Consider the following 17,329-nt stretch of genomic DNA (forward strand, 5'->3'; position numbering starts at 1 on the left):
AGAATCATTTGAGCCCAGGAGGTCAAGGCTACAATAAGGTATGATTGCACAACTGTACTCTAGCCTGGGTGAGGGCGTGAGCAGGTGCAGGTGGCCACCCCAGGTTATGGGGTTGGCTGTGGAGCACTGGGGAAGGCTCCAGGGTAAGCAGGGGTAGGTGGCCCCCGTGGGTTTTGGGGTTGGCTTTGGGGCACCATGGAAGGCTTCGGGGTGAGTAGGGGCAGGTGGCCCCCTGGGTTATGGGGTTGGCTGTGGAGTACCGTGGAAGGCTTTGGGGTGAGTAGGGGCAGGTGACCCCCTGGGTTATGGGGTTGGCTGTGGAGCACCGTGGAAGGCTCTGGGTTGAGTAGGGGCAGGTGGCCCCCTGGGTTTTGGGGTTGGCTGTGGGGCACCGTGGAAGGCTCCGGTGTGAGCAGGGGTAGGTGGCTGCTTTAAGAGAGGTTGTGTCCCCTGGGTGCCCCCTGGTTTTGCACCCCTGAAGCCCTGGCCACCCCATCCTGCAGTTCCCTCCTGAAGGACCAGGCAAAGCCAGGACCACCCTGGACAAGAGGAGGAATTGTCCTTCTGAGCCCTGACGGTTCCGTGATCAGACCCGGGACCTGCTCCAGGCTCTGTTTTAGTGTCTCACGTCCTCTTAGGGTACATTGAAGAAGCATTGTCGGTGCCAGGGTCAGCCAGGGTCAGCCAGGCCTGTGTTCCTCACTGTGCCCCTCCTCACTCCTGCAGAGGCCTAGGGACCTGGAAGGAACTTGCCACCTGTGGGTGACCTTTCTCAGAAGGTAAAATGCAGGGTGGGGCGAGCCCCACTGGCCTTGGAGAGTCTGTCCTCGGGCCCAGAGGGTGCCAGTTGGGGGAGGCGCAGAAGGACTGAGACACTTGGATTCCACAGAGAGGTCACCGTGGTACAGTCCAGACTGTTGTTTTTAATTTTAAAGGAAAGAATTTGTTATGACGACTGTTCTCATTCTCCTTTAGGCATTTTTAACATGTGTTCCAGGCAGACCAGGCTGTGGCCCTTCCCTCGTGGCTGGTGCAGGCCACGCCTCCCCCCGGCCCAGCGAGTAGGGAGGTTTGGCTCTGGCATGACCCTCCGGGGCACAAGTGTCCTCGGGGAGCTGGTCCCTACTACATAGAGGCCACCTGGCGTCACTTGGCAGAGGAGGACGGGGCACCACCCTGCAGAGAAGCGTCCATCTGCCCGTCAGTGTGCGGCCACACTTGGTGGTCCTCTTCACCTTGGCCTCTTGTTGAGCGCACCTCCCACCTGCACAGCATCCTGCGTCGTAGCCAACACCACCTCCTCCATGGACCTCAGTCTGCAGCCGTCACTCCATGTCTGCAGCTGGGGCCCTGGCCAGCCCCCATGGCGCAGTGCTGGGGGGTTCCTCTGGGTCCCTGTAGCCTCCATAACATAACCTGGGAGCAGGAAGATCCCCCTGGGTCTGCTCACCTGGTGGGGGGCAGCCATCACCAAAGCCGTCTGCCTGCATCACCGGCTGAATTGCAGCCATGATCCCACAAGGAAGCCTTGTCTCAGCTTTACAGAGGAGGAGGAGGCCCAGAGAGAGAAAGCAACTGCCCAGAGTCACACAGCTCAGGGAGGTTGTGTTCAGGGTGAGGTCTGTGCTCCCGCAGGGCCAGTGAGTGTCTTTCCTGTGGCAGCCGCTGGCCCACGTGTGTGGTGATGACACCAAGCACACGGACCACGCGTGTGTTCAGATGCTGCCTGGGCTTCACGTTGGTGCCCATTTCTCTCTGGACCTTACGAAGACAAGTTTGCGGAGGCATGGCAGCCCGTGCATGCTGTTGGTGGGCACGTAAGTTGGTGCAGGTATCACGGAAAACAGTGTGGGGTATGGAGGTTCCTCAAGTAATTGAAAAGAGCACTGTCGTTGGAGCCAGGAGTCCCCACTGTGGGTGGGTATCGGGGAAAGGAGTGAGCGTGTTAAAGAGCCACCCGCCCTCCAGAGCTCACCAGCCCACACGTGGAATCGACCCCAGTGGCCGTTAGTGGATGGGCGCGTGAAGATGATGTGGGGCACACACAATAGAGTGCTGCTGGGTCTTTGTTAGAAAGGAAAGCCTGTCATTCGAGACAGCACGGATGAGCCTGGAGGACAGTGCTGAGCAAAATCAGCCACAGGCAAAGCCACGGCCTGCTGAGTAAAACCAGCTGCAGGCACAGAAAGGCAAAGCCACGGCCCCACTCGTGTGGGGTGTCAGAGACGCCGACAAGCACGGTGGCTACTGGGGGCTGGGGTGGGGAAGCCTGGGGAGATGCTGGCCGGAGGACACAGAGTTTCCGTTGTGCCAAATGAATGAAGTCTGGGGGTCTGTTCGTGGTGGGCCATGGACTATTCGTGGTGACTGACTGTGGTCTGTTTGTGGTGGCCGTGGCGTGTTTGTTGTGGCCATGGTTGGTTTGTGGTGGCCGTGGTCTGTTTGTGGTGGCCGTGGTTGGTTCTGGGTGGCTGTGGTCTGTTTGTGGTGGCCGTGGTCTGTTTGTGGTGACCATGGTTGGTTCTGGGTGGCTGTGGTCAGTTCATGGTGGCTGTGACCTGTTCAAGGTGGCCGTGGCCTGTTTGTGGTGACTGTGGTTAACGCTGTATTTGTACCTGAGGTTTGCTGGGAGTGGATGTTGGGTATTCTAACTGTAAAAGGAAATGGCAGCTGTGGGAGGTGACAGTCAGTCACCAGTGAGTTTGGTGGTGGCTATGGTTTCACAACGTGAACTATATCAAAACAGCACGTGTGCGCCTTAAATACATACAATTATTTTTCTCAATATAGCTGGAAAAAATAGCCAGAAGCTGTAAGCTCAGGAAGTGATGAGCCAGCCAAGGGCTCCGTTCACAACACCCTGCACAGTGAACAGAGCTGAGTAAATGGGGCTGCTTAGCGAAAATCATCGGACTCGAAGCTCCCTGATGGCTCCAACATCTTCCGTGACTCTGGGCAACTCCTGTGCAATGGGAGGCCGTGCCCTGCCATGTCCCCGCCTTCCTGCCCACAAGCCTGCCCTGTCCCAGCCACTGGGGTCTCACTCACCCATCAGCCTGGAAACAGACGCATGTCGGCACCCTCCCAGCCCCTCTGCGAGAGCCTCTCCATAGCCTCGCTGTTGAGCCCGTGGCAGTGAAGGTCCCAGGCGCTGGAGCAGACGGCGTGGGCTCAGTCCTGGCACTGCCTGCCCTGCAGTCCTGGGCTGCTTACAGCTGAGCCTGACCTTGAATTCCCCGTCTTTAAAACAAGGATGATGAGGCTTCATGCTCCCTAGGTCCTCGCGAGGACTCACTCAATGCACTGGAGCCAGGTGTGAGTAGGAAACCTGCCTTTCTGGCCTGATCCTCCCCCCGGGAGCACAGGGTGGTCCTCATCTGAACCCCGAGGGGGTCTCCCTGGCATGCCCTTTCTCCCTGGACCCCTAGCCATTCCAGGTGCAGCTGCCAGTGCGACCCCTCCTGCGGACAGGAGGTCCATGTGAGGGCTCAGCTGCCTCTGAACCGGAAAGGCGCTGGCAGGCAGTGGCTGGGAGAGCAGGCGCACCCTGGGCGGCCTCCAGGAGAGAAAGGGAGACGTGTGCATCTCAGTGGGGGCTGGCGGGAGACACTAAGGTGTTGAAGACCCTCGGGTCTGGGCCCTGTGGAAATGCTCCCTGCGGGTGCCACCAGCCCTGCCCACTCAGCAGTCACTTGAGAACGCCCCGAGCATCTGGCCCAGGAGGCTCGGCCTGGAGCCTCACATGTGCGGAGGTTTGGCTCAGCCCCCAAGGGCAGGCCCAGGTCTGTGGCGGGGTGTGGGGAGGCAGCGGAGCCATGGGTACTGTGTAGCGGGTAGGGCTGTGACCGGAGGTGGCAAAGCCGGCAGCCAGCCCGGCCCTTGGGGGAGAGGGTGGCAGGGTCAGGGTCTCTGAACTCTGGAAGGAACCTGCGTCCCTCATCCTGAAACCCGGCCTCCTGTGTCTCTCAGACAGTGGCTCTCAGTCACTTTGGTCTCTGGTCCCTCTGCCCCTTGATTTTTTAAGTTGTTCTAGCTCAGAAGCCATTGTGTGTATGGTGTGACTACACCCCAGCCAGGGCATGAGTGCACACAGATCCAGGGTCCGTGCAGAGCCCGCCAGGTGTAGGGTGGATGCTGAGGCCCACCTGGCTGAAACTGCACTCAGGCCATTTTACTGATGTCAGGAAACGTTCATGAAAATGCAAGCTGGTGAGCAGGCAAGTGCCCCCCTGCATGACAGACCCTCCTGGTGCCCCTGGCTCAGACAGTGTGACCTTGAGAACAGCGGGGGTCTAACCCCTGACCCCAGCGTCCGTGTCACCTGGGAGCCTCACCTTGAGACCCCTGCGTTGTGGTTCTGAAATCACTTGAGTGGGCCGTGGCCACCGTGAGGCGGAGAAAGAGGAAATACCTGCCAGAAGATCAAATTGCAATCCGTGTAATTTAAAGATCTCACTGGGCTTTGTTGGCGATTCTAGAGTGGGGCAGCACTGCATTCCATGAACTAGAATTAAGAGCTCCAGTGAAACACGCAGTGCGGGGCCGGCTGTACAGACAGGGCTGAGGAAAGCAGAAACTGTGCAAACGCGGTTCGGCGGCCTCAGTCACTGTCCTTTGTAAGCTTGGGGAGTCGGCGGGAGAGACGTGACCCACTGGCCACTTCAGGCGGCTCTGTGTCGTAAGGATCAGTTTCACATTAGGTGATTGCCGGACTTACATCAAGCTTGAAGAAGCAGAAGATCCCTGCACACACGTGTGGCCCAGACCAAGAGCCGTCACGTGACAAACTTTGTGCTTAAATGGGTTTTTAGTATGTGTATCTTTTCTTTTTCTTTTTTTTTTTTTTTTTTGAGATGGAGTCTCGCTCTGTCACCCAGGCTGGAGTGCAGTGGCACAATCTCAGCTCACAGCAACATCCACCTCCCAGGTTCAAAAGATTCTCCAGCCTCAGCTTCCTGAGTACCTGGGACTACAGGCACCTGCCACCATGCCCAGCTAATTTTTGTATCTTTAGTAGGGAGGGGGTTTCGCCATGTTGACCAGGCTGGTCTTGAACTCCTGACCTCAAGTGATTTGTCCACCTTGGCCTCCCAAAGTGTTGGCATTTATAGGCGTGAGCCACTGTGCCCGGCCAAGTACGGGTATCTTTTTGGCAGTGTGAAGAATTTATTTAGGCTTGACTGTTTTAAAGCACCATAATGAATGTATAATTAAGTTATGATAAAGTCTTAACCCTTTGTTACAGGGGAACGGTAATGTTGTGAGTGGCTGTGTCTCAGCCCCTGGACTCCAGCAGTCACCCTCATAGGAGTCCCACCTCTGCGGGCAGCTCAGAGCCTCCATGTTTTTATATTTAATTCTCATGGTTAAATTCAGTGCCGTAACTCATGGAATTAAGTCTTTTTAAAATCTAAGCAAACTGTCTTTAAGACAGAAAAAGTTGGGTAATTCTTCATCTATTTGAAGTGATGCTCTCTGGATGGGCTGCATCCTAAGAATGTATCAAAAGTGGAAATTCTGACCACTGTTTTGATTGTCCTTTTACATATTAAACAAGTTGAGAGCAAGAACAACAAAAAGAGGGACCTCCGTGACCACGCCGAGGAAGACAGAGCCTGGCCTGGTTGGAAGATTGGCCTCTCCTCTGTCTCCTGTTTTCTCCAAGGTCCGATAACAACTCAGTTTCCCTTGGAGTGTGGGGACTTCATTTTGATTTTCAGTCTGATCTGTTGGGGTCTAGGCAGGAGCTTGGTCCCAAACAACACACCCATGTGTGCTGAGGACACGCTCCAGGGGATTCTTACGCCCGCCTGCATCAGAGAACCCAGGTCTTGTGGGCGAGGCAGCGTGGAGAGGGAGCGCAGCTCTGGAGACGGCCCCCAGGGCTTGCGGGCGGGCGGGCGAGGCAGCGTGGAGAGCGGAGAGCGAAGCTCTGGAGACGACCCCCAGAGGAGATTGGCCAAGTGCGGATGTGCGAGTCCTCCCTGCCCGAGGCGCAAACTGTCTCACTCCAAAGGGCGTCCGGAGGGTTCTGCGGGGCGGCTGTGCACTGACACCTGCCCCCCACGTGGGAGTCCGCCGGCTCCTGGCCCTTGCCGGTTGGTGTTGCGCGTCTGAGATGACGCCCCTGCGGTAGGAGCGGGGTTTCCCTGATCACCGCTTCTTTTGACCATCTTTTCTGGCAGGGCCTTGTATTTTTAAAATGTGTAAAGGTTAAGCTTTCTGAGATCAGAAAAATAATATTTAGTGAACCATGTGATTTAAGTCACTGTGTATGTGACATGAAATATTTATACCTAACCCACTAGCAAATGGCTCGTTAAACATATTTGAGATTTAATGTAAGTGAGAATTCTGCCAACCAAGTCAGGATAAACCTTAAACATCGGGAATGCAAAATCAAACAGATCCTTTAACACACATCACAAACAGAGGTGTGGACGCCCCTTTTGTCCCAATGGCAGGGACGGGGCGCTGGCCCCCAGGGTGTCCTGTTTATCCCCTGACCCACACAGTGTCAGGAGCTTGTCTGGAGGGGACGGGGATGCTGGCCTCCTGGGGTGTCCTTATCTGAAGGCTGTGGTTTCAAGCATCCTCCTTACTGAATTTAGATTTTGTTCCGATTTTGTGGCCTGCGTTTCTTCTTACTGCCCTGCTCTGTGGCCCTGTTCTTCCTGGGTTTGGAGATCCTCAAGGATGGGCTTCGGGAAGGCCTCTGGCCGGATGATCTGGTGACGTAATCCCATCTGACGCTCAGCCTTGGACTTTGAAAAGGCACGACTGTCCTGTCTGATGGACAGGATGCAGAAGCCTTTGGGAATGGGCATTTTGCCAGAATAAATAAAAGAAGACAATTGGCAAAAGATGGACTGTACCCCATGGCCCCAGGCTGCTGTGTGGAGAGACTTGTCCTCTCCTCTGCCCACGGTCACCAGTGAGCACCAGGGACGGGGTTTCCTGCTGCACCTGGGCCTCTTCCTGCTGCCAGGAGCTGCCTTGCTGCCTCCACCTGTGACAGTCCACCCCCCATACCCCCCCCACCCGCACCATGAGAGGATTTCCAGGGCCCACCCGCCTCCAGTCCCCGTTCTCTCTGCTGCTTTCGAGGTCACCCTGGGCTGGAAGGGGTGCCTGGGATACTGCTCAGACGTCTTGGCCGCCCTCCCACCCCGCAACACCCCGCTCCTGGTTTTCAGGATGAAATTGTCCTCAAATAAAGCAAGCTTTTGAGTCAACTTGCAAGAGGAAGGAAGTTTGCTTCAGTCGTCTGGTTTTGTTGGAACAAAGAGATCTAAAGATAGACACATGGTCCCCCTCCCTGGACTGCCATTGCCAGGACCCTGTTTCTGTGAGGAAAAGTCAGTGGTGGGGCCTCACCTGTGTATCAGGTGAGCCAAGGGCACCTCTGCCCTTCCCACGCTTGGGAAATCTCACCACGTCGTCCCCGTAGTGGCCAGAAGAGATTGGCCCTCCCAGGTGGGGCTGCTGTGGTCGGTGCTGGGGATGGGCAGGGGCAGGCCTGGCCACCCCCTCGTCGGCCCCACCTGCTGCCTCTGCCCGCGTGGCAGGGGAATGGACGGGGCAGCCTCTGCCGGGCCTCAGATGTGAGGCCCTAACCCTCCCCTCTCAGACCTGCCTCTGAGCAGTGGGGTCATCACTGGGGAGTTGGTTGGAGCAGGGCTCAGTGAGGGAGCTGGGCCTGGCCTGGCCTTGGGTGGCACATACGGGTCAGGGGCCCACCACCTCCCAGACGTCTGACAGCACAGAGCCCCACAGAGGCCATGCTCGCCTGCCTGCATCTCCTCTGGGGACCTGTCTCCTGAACTGAGTGGCCACTATTGTTCCTCCGTGCGCTTCTTAGTCTTATGGCTGCAAAATTAAGTAGACTGGAACTTTTAAAGAAACTATGATCATAAGGGCAGATTTTCCCATCATTCTTGAGTGGGTTCAAAAAATCAAGAAGAATGAAAACTTACACACATAAATGGAAGAAACGCCCAGCGCCCTGAAAATCCCAGGGCCCCGCCTGCAGAAGGCCTCCATGAAGAACGGAAGAAGGCCAACACTCTGGTGTGGGTCAGAGAGCATCCACAGGCCTCTTCAGGTTCACAGAGTGGCCAGTGACCACTTCAGATGTAGCGATATTTTAGAGTTTATTTGTATGAGGGCTTAGCTGTGTGCAGTTTCTGATCACACACAGGGGGATCCCTGCTTTTCATACCCAAAATGAGGCATTTGATCTGAGGGACAATATTTAGAGTTTGTCCTGGCCCAGAGAGTCCAGAGGCACTGCGGGCTGCCAGCAGGTAGACAGTGCAGTGCAGATGATGGACAGGTGGTGTGGACGGTGGACAGGTGGTGTGGATGGTGGACACTGCAGTGCAGATGGTGGACAGGCGGTGTGGATGGTGGACAGGTGGTGTGGACGGTGGACAGGCTGGGTGGATGGTGGACACTGCGATGAGGACGGTGGACACTGCGATGAGGACAGTGGACAGGTGGTGTGGACGGTGGACACTGCAGTGTGGATGGTGGACAGGTGGTGTGGACGGTGGACAGGCAGTGTGGACGGTGGACACTGTGATGCAGACGGTGGACAGGCGGTGTGGACGGTGGACACCGTGATGCGGACGGTGGACAGGCGGTGTGGACGGTGGACACCGTGATGAGGACGGTGGACAGGCGGTGTGGACGGTGGACACTGTGATGCGGACGGTGGACAGGCGGTGTGGACGGTGGACACTGTGATGCGGACGGTGGACAGGCGGTGTGGACGGTGGACACTGTGATGCGGACGGTGGACAGGCGGTGTGGACGGTGGACACTGTGATGCGGACGGTGGACAGGCGGTGTGGATGGTGGACAGGCGGTGTGGACGGTGGACAGGCTGGGTGGATGGTGGACACTGCGATGAGGACGGTGGACACTGCGATGAGGACAGTGGACAGGTGGTGTGGACGGTGGACACTGCAGTGTGAATGGTGGACAGGTGGTGTGGACAGTGGACACTGCAGTGTGGATGGTGGACAGGTGGTGTGGACGGTGGACAGGCAGTGTGGACGGTGGACACTGTGATGCGGACGGTGGACAGGCAGTGTGGATGGTGGACAGGCGGTGTGGACGGTGGACAGGCTGGGTGGATGGTGGACACTGCGATGAGGACGGTGGACACTGCGATGAGGACAGTGGACAGGTGGTGTAGACAGTGGACACTGCAGTGTGGATGGTGGACAGGTGGTGTGGACGGTGGACAGGCAGTGTGGACGGTGGACACTGTGATGCGGACGGTGGACAGGCAGTGTGGACGGTGGACACTGTGATGCGGACGGTGGACAGGCAGTGTGGACGGTGGACACTGCAGTGCGGATGGTGGACAGGTGGTGTGGATGGTGGACAGGCGGTGTGGACGGTGGACAGGCTGGGTGGATGGTGGACACTGCAATGAGGACGGTGGACACTGCGATGAGGACAGTGGACAGGTGGTGTGGACGGTGGACACTGCAGTGTGGACTGTGGACACTGTGATGCGGACGGTGGACAGGCGGTGTGGACGGTGGACACTGTGATGCGGACGGTGGACAGGCGGTGTGGACGGTGGACACTGCAGTGTGGATGGTGGACAGGTGGTGTGGACGGTGGACAGGCAGTGTGGACGGTGGACACTGTGATGCGGACGGTGGACAGGCGGTGTGGACGGTGGACACTGTGATGCGGACGGTGGACAGGCGGTGTGGACGGTGGACACTGTGATGCGGACGGTGGACAGGCGGTGTGGACGGTGGACACTGAGATGCGGACGGTGGACAGGCGGTGTGGACGGTGGACACTGTGATGCGGACGGTGGACAGGCGGTGTGGACGGTGGACACTGTGATGCGGACGGTGGACAGGCGGTGTGGACGGTGGACACTGTGATGCGGACGGTGCCCCCACGGTCTGTGAGGCAGGCAGGGGATTGAGGACAGTGCCTCCTGGTTTCCTCTCAGGTCACAGTCGCTCCTGGTGAGAGAGAAAAACTTACCGTAAAATCTGAACATCCAACTGCGCAGTCTAGGCTGCCGTCGGCTGCACCAGACACACATTCCAGAGAGGTGTGCACCAGTGGAAGTCACCTTGCCAGGAGCATGAGATAGTATTTCATGCTTTACTGATTGACTGTTTCTGTCTTTCTCCCACAAAAGAAGCCATCGCCGAGACGTGGTTGCGTACTGGGAATGGGTCTGTGCCCTGAGCTCGCCCTGCAAGGCTCTGGGGAAGGGCCTTGACATCTGCTTGGCTCTGGCAGGTCCCATGACACCGTGGCCCTGCTGCTTCCCCCCCAACACCAGGGTTGTGTCTGGCTCGGAGGCAAAGCAGTCCCATAGCTGGCAGGGCCGCAGCCAGCACGGCCCAGGAGGGGCCCCTTTGTGTTCCACTGTGTCCCGTGTTTACACTTGTTTGTCTGCAAGACTGGAAGAGCAAGATTTAAGTCTGATGCCAGGTAGATATTATCTGGCAGCCTCCGCTGGGAATTTCCAGGTACAAACACCTCTGTCCCATATCTTCAGGCTGTTAGTGACCTGGGTCCTCAGGTGTGGAAAAATTGAGCGTTTAAGCCATTCTCAGGTCATCAGCGTGAGTCCTGCATCTTTTAGAGAGAAATTGTGTGGATGTTCAAGACTGCAAATGTGGCTATATGATGAGAGCGTTGGCCAGAAATCGTGTCTGCTCCGTGGTCAGTGGTCAGTGTCCCCCAGGCACAGTGGCCTGGCAGCCGCTCTGTAGCAGAGACCACCAGCCTGTCAGTCCGTACAGCTTTCCCTGGAGGGTCTTGCTGGCCCCATGCTCCCGGCTGGTGCTGGCTCCATGCTCCTAGCTGGTGCTGACCCCATGCTCCGAGCTGATGCTGGCCTAGTGCTCCCAGCTGGTGCTGGCCCCGTGCTCCTGGCTGGTGCTGGCCCCATGCTCCTAGCTGGTGCTGACCCCATGCTCCGAGCTGACGCTGGCCTAGTGCTCCCAGCTGGTACTGGCCCCATGCTCCCCCCGTGCTCCCAGCCAGTGCTGGCCTGGTGGCTGCAGGTGCTGCAGTGCGTCCAGAGCCATCTGGAACCTGCTGGGTGGGGGGATGGGTGTGGGGGTCGACCCTGCTGTTGCCATCCTGCCTCATTTGTGTCCGTCTAATGGCGAGGCCAGGGTTGTGGCACAGACCCCCGAGGGTCCTGTGTGTGCGGAGGCAGAGGCCCATTCCATGGCCAGGTTTTCCTCCTGGGCCACAAGTTACTGCACCTGCAACAGGTGCGGGGCAGGGGTCGCCTGAACATTTTCCCTAATGTGGGTGGGACTCAGACCAAAGTGTATTTATCCGAGGAGCCAGGACCAAGCCCTTTCCCACTGCTCCCCTGCCTCCCCTCTGCCCAGGTCTCTCTCTTTGTCCCTCCCTCTCTCTGTCTCTCAGTCCCTCTCTCTGAACCTCTTATATCACACTTTCAAAATTGATGGTGAATCACTCAACACACAGCTTTTATGCGCTGAGAAACAAAGGCCTCCACGTATTGGAAACTGAAAAGCCTTTTTCCAGCCACGTGACGCCACTCCCGTAGGTGCCTGTGGATGTGCCAGCTCCGTGTGGGATCGGGTGGGCGCTTGCAGGGTGAGGCAGCTTCCTGGGACTGACACGTGCCGTCTGCTCTTTCCGTGCAGATGAAATCATGCACCAGGACATCGTCCCGCTCTGTGCTGCCGACATCCAGGACCAGCTAAAGAAGCGCTTTGCTTACCTGTCCGGTGAGTTCCAGAAGCTGGGATGGGGTGGAGAGGGAGGGGTCTGGGGCCGGGTGTGGGCCGAGCAGCCCCCGTGGCCTGGCCCAGGCTGGAGCTGGGAAGGGTCATGCGAGGGGCTGTGTATTCACTGCCTTGGGTCTGACCTGTGACCTGGCTCTCCCCATCTCTGTGAAGTGGGCAGCTCCATGCCAGTTGGCACATGGCCACTGGGAGGAGGTGGGTGGAGGAGGGTCAGGGTCCCCAGGGGGATGTGGCCTGGGCACCCCTGACAGCAGCCTCCAGGGACAGATGGAGTGGTGTGTGGGTGGCCGAGCCCATGGGCCTCAGTGAACCCCAGTTCCTGCTGCATCTGGGCACCTCCCAGGCCACGCCTCTGTCCACTGTGGCCTCCAGCCCTGCGTCTGGCACACCTGTGGAGGTGGTGCCTGCAGCCATGGGGACATAATGAGGCTCCCAGCACCCCTGTGTGGGTACAGCAAGGGCACCTGCAGTGGCCCCGAGCTATGTAGATGCCGTTCTTATGTGAACAAATCTGCCCAACAGGACCCGTCAGAAAAAACACCATGCACATGCATGCCCACCCTGGGCCATCAGGGTGCCCCGATGCTGAGGAGGGTGCCCCGATGCCGAGGAGGGTGCCCCGATGCTGAGGAGGGTGCCCCGATGCCGAGGACGCGGTGCTCTTGGGAGCTCAGCCTCTGCCCCTCTGCATTCCCGTCAGCATCCCGGCCCCCAATCCATGGCTGGCACGGTGGGGCCTCCATCCCGCACCTGCACCTACAGAGCCAGCCTGCACCCCAGGCCGGGCCTTGGGGTCTGAGGGAGGCTGACTGCGAGGTGCAGCTGGTGAGTTTTATGAGACCAAAATCGAAGAGACAGCCAGCAACATGATGGCCAGAGGAGAAGTGCTGTGCAGTGACTTGGTCCCTGCTTCCCATGGCCAAGTGGCCCAGGAGGAGGAAGGAGAGAAAGCAGGGGGTCTCTGGAGAACTGAAAACTCCCAGAGGACAAGGGCTCCAATCCCCCTGTGTCGGGGACCAGGCGTGGTGATGGCTCAAGAGAGGCGCCGTGGTTTCTGCCGGTTCCTCCTGCGTCCCCAGCCTCTCCCCGCCCCTTTCACAACCCCAAAGAGGCTCACAGCTTTGCCACCAGGAGGGCCCCGACCTGGGCCTCCAGCCTTGACCTTCCTCCAGTTGCCAGGCAGTGCCCCCACCCCAGCGGTGCCTGGGAGGGCAGAGTCCCAGGACGGCCCCAGCCACCCACCTTTTCTCGATCGTTCCTCAGACGCCAGCCCAGGAGCTCTGGGGGGGATTTTGCAGATGAATTTAAGGCCCCAAATCAGCTAACTTTAAGATCTTCCTTGGTGGGCTTGACCCACTCAGCTAAGCCCTTAGAAGAGATGGGGCTCTTCCTGGCATGAGGGATCCCAGGTGCAAGAAGGATTTGACACAAGGGGGTTCTCTGTGTGGCCCCGAAGGAGGCAGAGGCCGCCTGACCAGGACAAGAGCCGCCCCACGGGCAGCCGCCAGGAACCCGGGGCCTCAACACTGCAGCTGGGGGCACAGCTCTGCCAAGCCCCTGGGGGAGCTGGAGAGACTGGGCTCAGGATCACAGCCCGGCAACCCCTCCACGTGGGCCCAGAGACCCTGAGCAGAGACCCGCAAGCTGATAAGTGCCTGAGCGTCAATGGTCTTGGGAACCACACCAAAGCCTCCGTCGGCTCCTCTCCCTCCTGGAATATAAGATGGAGTCCCCTGTGGTACTGCTGCCCCCGCGTCATATGCTGCCCCCGCGTCGTATCCTGCCCACCCCCTGGAGGCAGGCTGCCTCCCCATCCCCCTGCCTCCCGCCAACCTCGGGGCCTTTGCACAGCCGGCCCTCTCCATGCAGCGAATTTCTTCCGCGGGGCTTGTGGCTGGCCCGGCCCCTCAGGCCTTGCTCAGAGGCACGCCCTCGTACATGCCCTCTCCCTCCTCGCCTGCGCTCTGCTCCGCCCCCTTCGTTACACCACCTCACGTCCTCCCGTGTGTGGCGTGGGTCCCTCCTGAGGGCTGGGTTTGTTCACAGCTGCCTCCCGGCTTCTAGAGGTGCACCCAGCCTCAGAGCCATGTACTGAGGGCTCAGCCATGGGCCCATCTGGGGTGGGACCCTGGCACACCACGCTGTTCTCAGGATCCAGGTCGTAGCAGCAGTACCACGTCTGAGAAGGATCAGTGTCGGCTGGCGCTTCTCCTGCAGATGTGCGCGGATTTGGAGGAAGCCTGTGGCAGCCTCGGGTGTGTGCGTTGCCAATCGCCCCGTCCCCTCCTCACCACGTCCAGCACTGCTGTGTCCTGAGGCTGCGCCTGCACTCCGGGTTCCTGCCATGAAGCCCCCTTTTGTGTCCTCATGACAAAGGCCATGCACTGGGGGACCGAAACAACTGGGGCTCGTCTCTCAGGTTCCGTGGGGCTGTGCCCCTTCCGGAGGCTCCTCCTGCTTTGGGGACGCAGGTGTTCCTTGGTGTCCCTTGGCATCTTCATGCAGCCGCCTCACCTGTACGTCGGTGTCTCCTCTTCTGCCTCAAAGCCCCTCTGCCTTTCTCCCGGGACACCCGTCACGAGATTTAGGGCCCACCGTATAATCCATTATGGTCTCACCCTGAAAACTTTGTTACCTCTGCTGCAAAGACTTCTCCAAACAAAGTCATGTTTACAGGCTCCTGGGACAGGGAGTGGACGTGCCTTTCAGGGGCCGCCTTGGACTCAGGGTAAATCTGGCTCAGAGGTTTGCTGTCTTGACAGCTGCCCTCAAGGGGGCTCCCCTCCCGCCCCAGCATCACCCATGGGACTCGCTCTCCCTGTCTCGCTCCACTCGAAGGAAACACAGACTCCCCCGCCCGCCACTCCTGCACACTGACCACCATGGGGCTGGGGTCCAGCTGGGTGAGGCCCCTCATTGTGACTGGAGCCCACAGGTCGACACCCCAGCCTGTTCCGTGGACTTTTGCTTAATTCCCTGGTCTTTGGATGCCTGGAATGGCTTCCGTGAAGTGCCAGAGCAAAAAACTAAAGATGTCAGGAAGGAATGGCTCCGAATTTTCCTTTTCAAGAGGAGACTGCGTTTCTTTCCACTTGCCCTGCTGATTTCCCCTCCCTGCGACGTTCGTGCCAGCCCTGTGCTGTCTGCCGCGGAGCCATGGCTGCCACTGTGACATGTGCGGTCCCGTCTTCTCCCTCCATTGTCTGTAGACGCACAGGTGCCACGCAGAACCCTACAGCTCTGTCCAGATCCTGGATCCAGATGAGGCAGCTTTTGAAAGGCGGCCAAGTGAGGGATGCGTAAACCTCGGGGGCTCCGGACTCCTGTACGTTGCCGCCCAAAGTCAGGACGAGCTGCGGAAGTCACACCTGGACTCTGTGTCTGTCATCCGCAGACAGCAGCTCCCCATTCAGCCTGTGTCCCTCGTAATCCACACCCTCTACTCACAGTGACATCTGCCCCAAAAGCGCTTCGCTTAACCCTGAAGCTACGAGACCTGCCACCCTACTGTCCCCTCTAGTTTTCTGACATTTGAGGAACAAGGAATTGGGTGTAAAATCAGGAAATATCCTACATGTAAATTCTTGATTATTCTTGTCCTTCCGGGCAGAGCTGCCTCCTGAGTCATCCGTTTGACTCTTTCTTACTGAAGGCTGAGGGTTGGGGGGTGCATGGGTGCTCCAAACCCAGAGGCAATGGCGCGTCCCCTGGCATGGCAGTCGGAGCAGGCCCCGAGGAGGTCGTGGTCTCAGAACTCAGTCCTTGTGTCATCCTAGAAAAGATACTTCAACTTGCTGACCGTCAGCAAGAGCTAAAAACAGGGCGGGAGAATTTACCACTGAGGAACTTATGATCTGAAGTGAAAAACGCAGAGAACAGACTTGCCACCGGTGAAAACCACAAAGCTGAAATGGAGGCCCTGCCCGGAACGCAGAGGCCACCGCCACTGTGCGTCTCACTCCCTGCAATGGACGGCGGCCCCCCTCCCACTGCCCAGGCGGCTCTTGGGAATTTCGTTTTGCTTTTACGGGAATGTGGCATGGTCAGCGGTGGCCATCAGCCATCCAGGAACCTGGATTTGACAGGATTGCTCCATCCCATGTCCAGGCAGCCTCAGGTGTGTGGAGACAGGGCAGACTTAGGAGTTCCTCCCCTGGCCTGTGCTCTCCTCCCGGGAAGAACGCTGGAGACCTTCGTCTCTTCTCCTTTCCTCACCTTCCCCAAGCGCTCGCTGCACAAGCCCCCTCCTGCCTTGCCCCTTCTCCCACCCCATTTCGGTTTTGGTCCCAGCTTACATCTCGTCCTAAGGATTAAGTGTTTGTGCAGCTGAGCCGCAGTTCTCAGGTGAGCTGCAGGGCTCCAGCATGGCACCTGCCTGGGCAGTCCTGAGAGAGGGATTCGAAGTGGGGAAGGACCCCGGAGTCTCCCTGGCACGTGGTCTGAGGCTCCAGCCACCAGACCCGAAGCTCAGTCTACACTCACCAAGGCCCGACGGCTGCTCCAACCTGGGAGGACCGATCCGATCCTGCGCTCCCTGAGGCCGATGGCTTTTTGACACCCAGGCTTCAGCCACAGACAGACAGACGTTCCCTGCCCGTGGGGGTTTGCCCTTGCTGGAGAGAAACAGAAATGGACAGAAGGTCACTGGGGTGGCCCTGGGTGTTCTGCGGAGAATCAAAGTCATGAGACGGAGACAGGAATCCCGTTAGGTTTGGGCAGAGTCGCACGTGCTCCTTTCTGGACCTGCTTCAAGGAATCCGATGGTTTCACGACATCCAACCAGTTGCTATAGGATAAATGTTTGTGTCCCTCCAAACTCAGATGTTGAAACCCTAACCCCAGAGGTGATGTTTGGGGAGGTGAGGCCTTTGGGAGGAGATTAGGTCATGAAGGTGGAGCTCCCAGGTGGGATCAGAGCCTTTATAAGGGGCTGAAGAGACCAGATCTCCTTCCGCAGCATGGCCATGCCTCAAGGAGACCTCTGAATGGGGAAGCCGCCGTCACCAGACACCAAGTCTATGGGCACCTTCATCTTGGACTTACCTGGCCAGAGCTGTGAGATAAATTTCTGTTGTTTGGGCCTCCCGGCCTATGGTGGTTTGTTACGGCCGCCCAGACAGACCAACAAACAGCCTGTGTGAAAATGCGAGCCATAAACGAGTGGTGTTGACAAAGGCATCCTGTCCAGGTAGGAGTTCCGTGTGGCTAAGTAGTGTCTAGTTTCAGAATGTGATGCCTTCTTGATGTCATCTCCACACTGGCAGGAGGAGGTTTTTATTTAGTTCTTATTTTAAGATTTTTCTACCCGACAGTTAACTTAGGATACAGATGTCATAGTAAATTAACCACTGGAATGCTTTCATTCCTAAGCAGCTCATGTGGGTGAGTTTCTAAAGCCGTGTTTGGGCCGAGGCATCACACAAGAGGGTGTCCCTAAGATGCATCACGTCCGTGGAGAAAACAAAGCAGGACACACGTGTGAGTCGTCACACCCTTGGTCACCCGGCTTGGCCGTCACACATGCCTCCTGCCCAGGACGCGTGTGCGTG

At 58.0% G+C, this 17,329-nt stretch overlaps 1 protein-coding gene and 1 long non-coding RNA gene across 26 annotated transcripts in view, besides 1 other annotated feature; both read left to right on the plus strand.

The window, feature by feature from the left end:
- MCF2L (MCF.2 cell line derived transforming sequence like) overlaps positions 1-17,329 on the plus strand; it is a 205,408-nt gene that overhangs the window by 108,750 nt on the left and 79,329 nt on the right. For 24 of the 25 annotated variants that reach the window (NM_001438391.1, NM_001438392.1, NM_001438393.1 and 21 more), the window contains one exon: positions 11,679-11,762. In NM_001438391.1, the coding sequence (NP_001425320.1) occupies positions 11,679-11,762 (84 nt within the window). Of the gene's footprint in view, positions 1-11,678; positions 11,763-12,364; positions 16,969-17,329 lie in introns of those variants that run through there. The other variant, XM_047430225.1, reaches the window with a different exon arrangement.
- Positions 8-7,252, plus strand: LOC107984591 (uncharacterized). Its single transcript, XR_001750037.2, has 2 exons — positions 8-1,817; positions 2,791-7,252. It is a non-coding gene; the product is annotated as an uncharacterized LOC107984591 (long non-coding RNA).
- Positions 11,031-11,559: an enhancer, noted in NCBI's record as "H3K27ac-H3K4me1 hESC enhancer chr13:113668429-113668957 (GRCh37/hg19 assembly coordinates)". NCBI's record gives its function as "activates a minimal SCP1, AML or CMV promoter by ChIP-STARR-seq in primed H9 embryonic stem cells {active_cell/tissue: H9 hESC(primed)}" and the evidence as "EXISTENCE:reporter gene assay evidence [ECO:0000049][PMID:30033119]".

Source organism: Homo sapiens, chromosome 13 (assembly GCF_000001405.40).
Source record: "Homo sapiens chromosome 13, GRCh38.p14 Primary Assembly".
In the NCBI taxonomy this organism is placed as follows: Eukaryota; Metazoa; Chordata; class Mammalia; order Primates; family Hominidae; genus Homo; species Homo sapiens.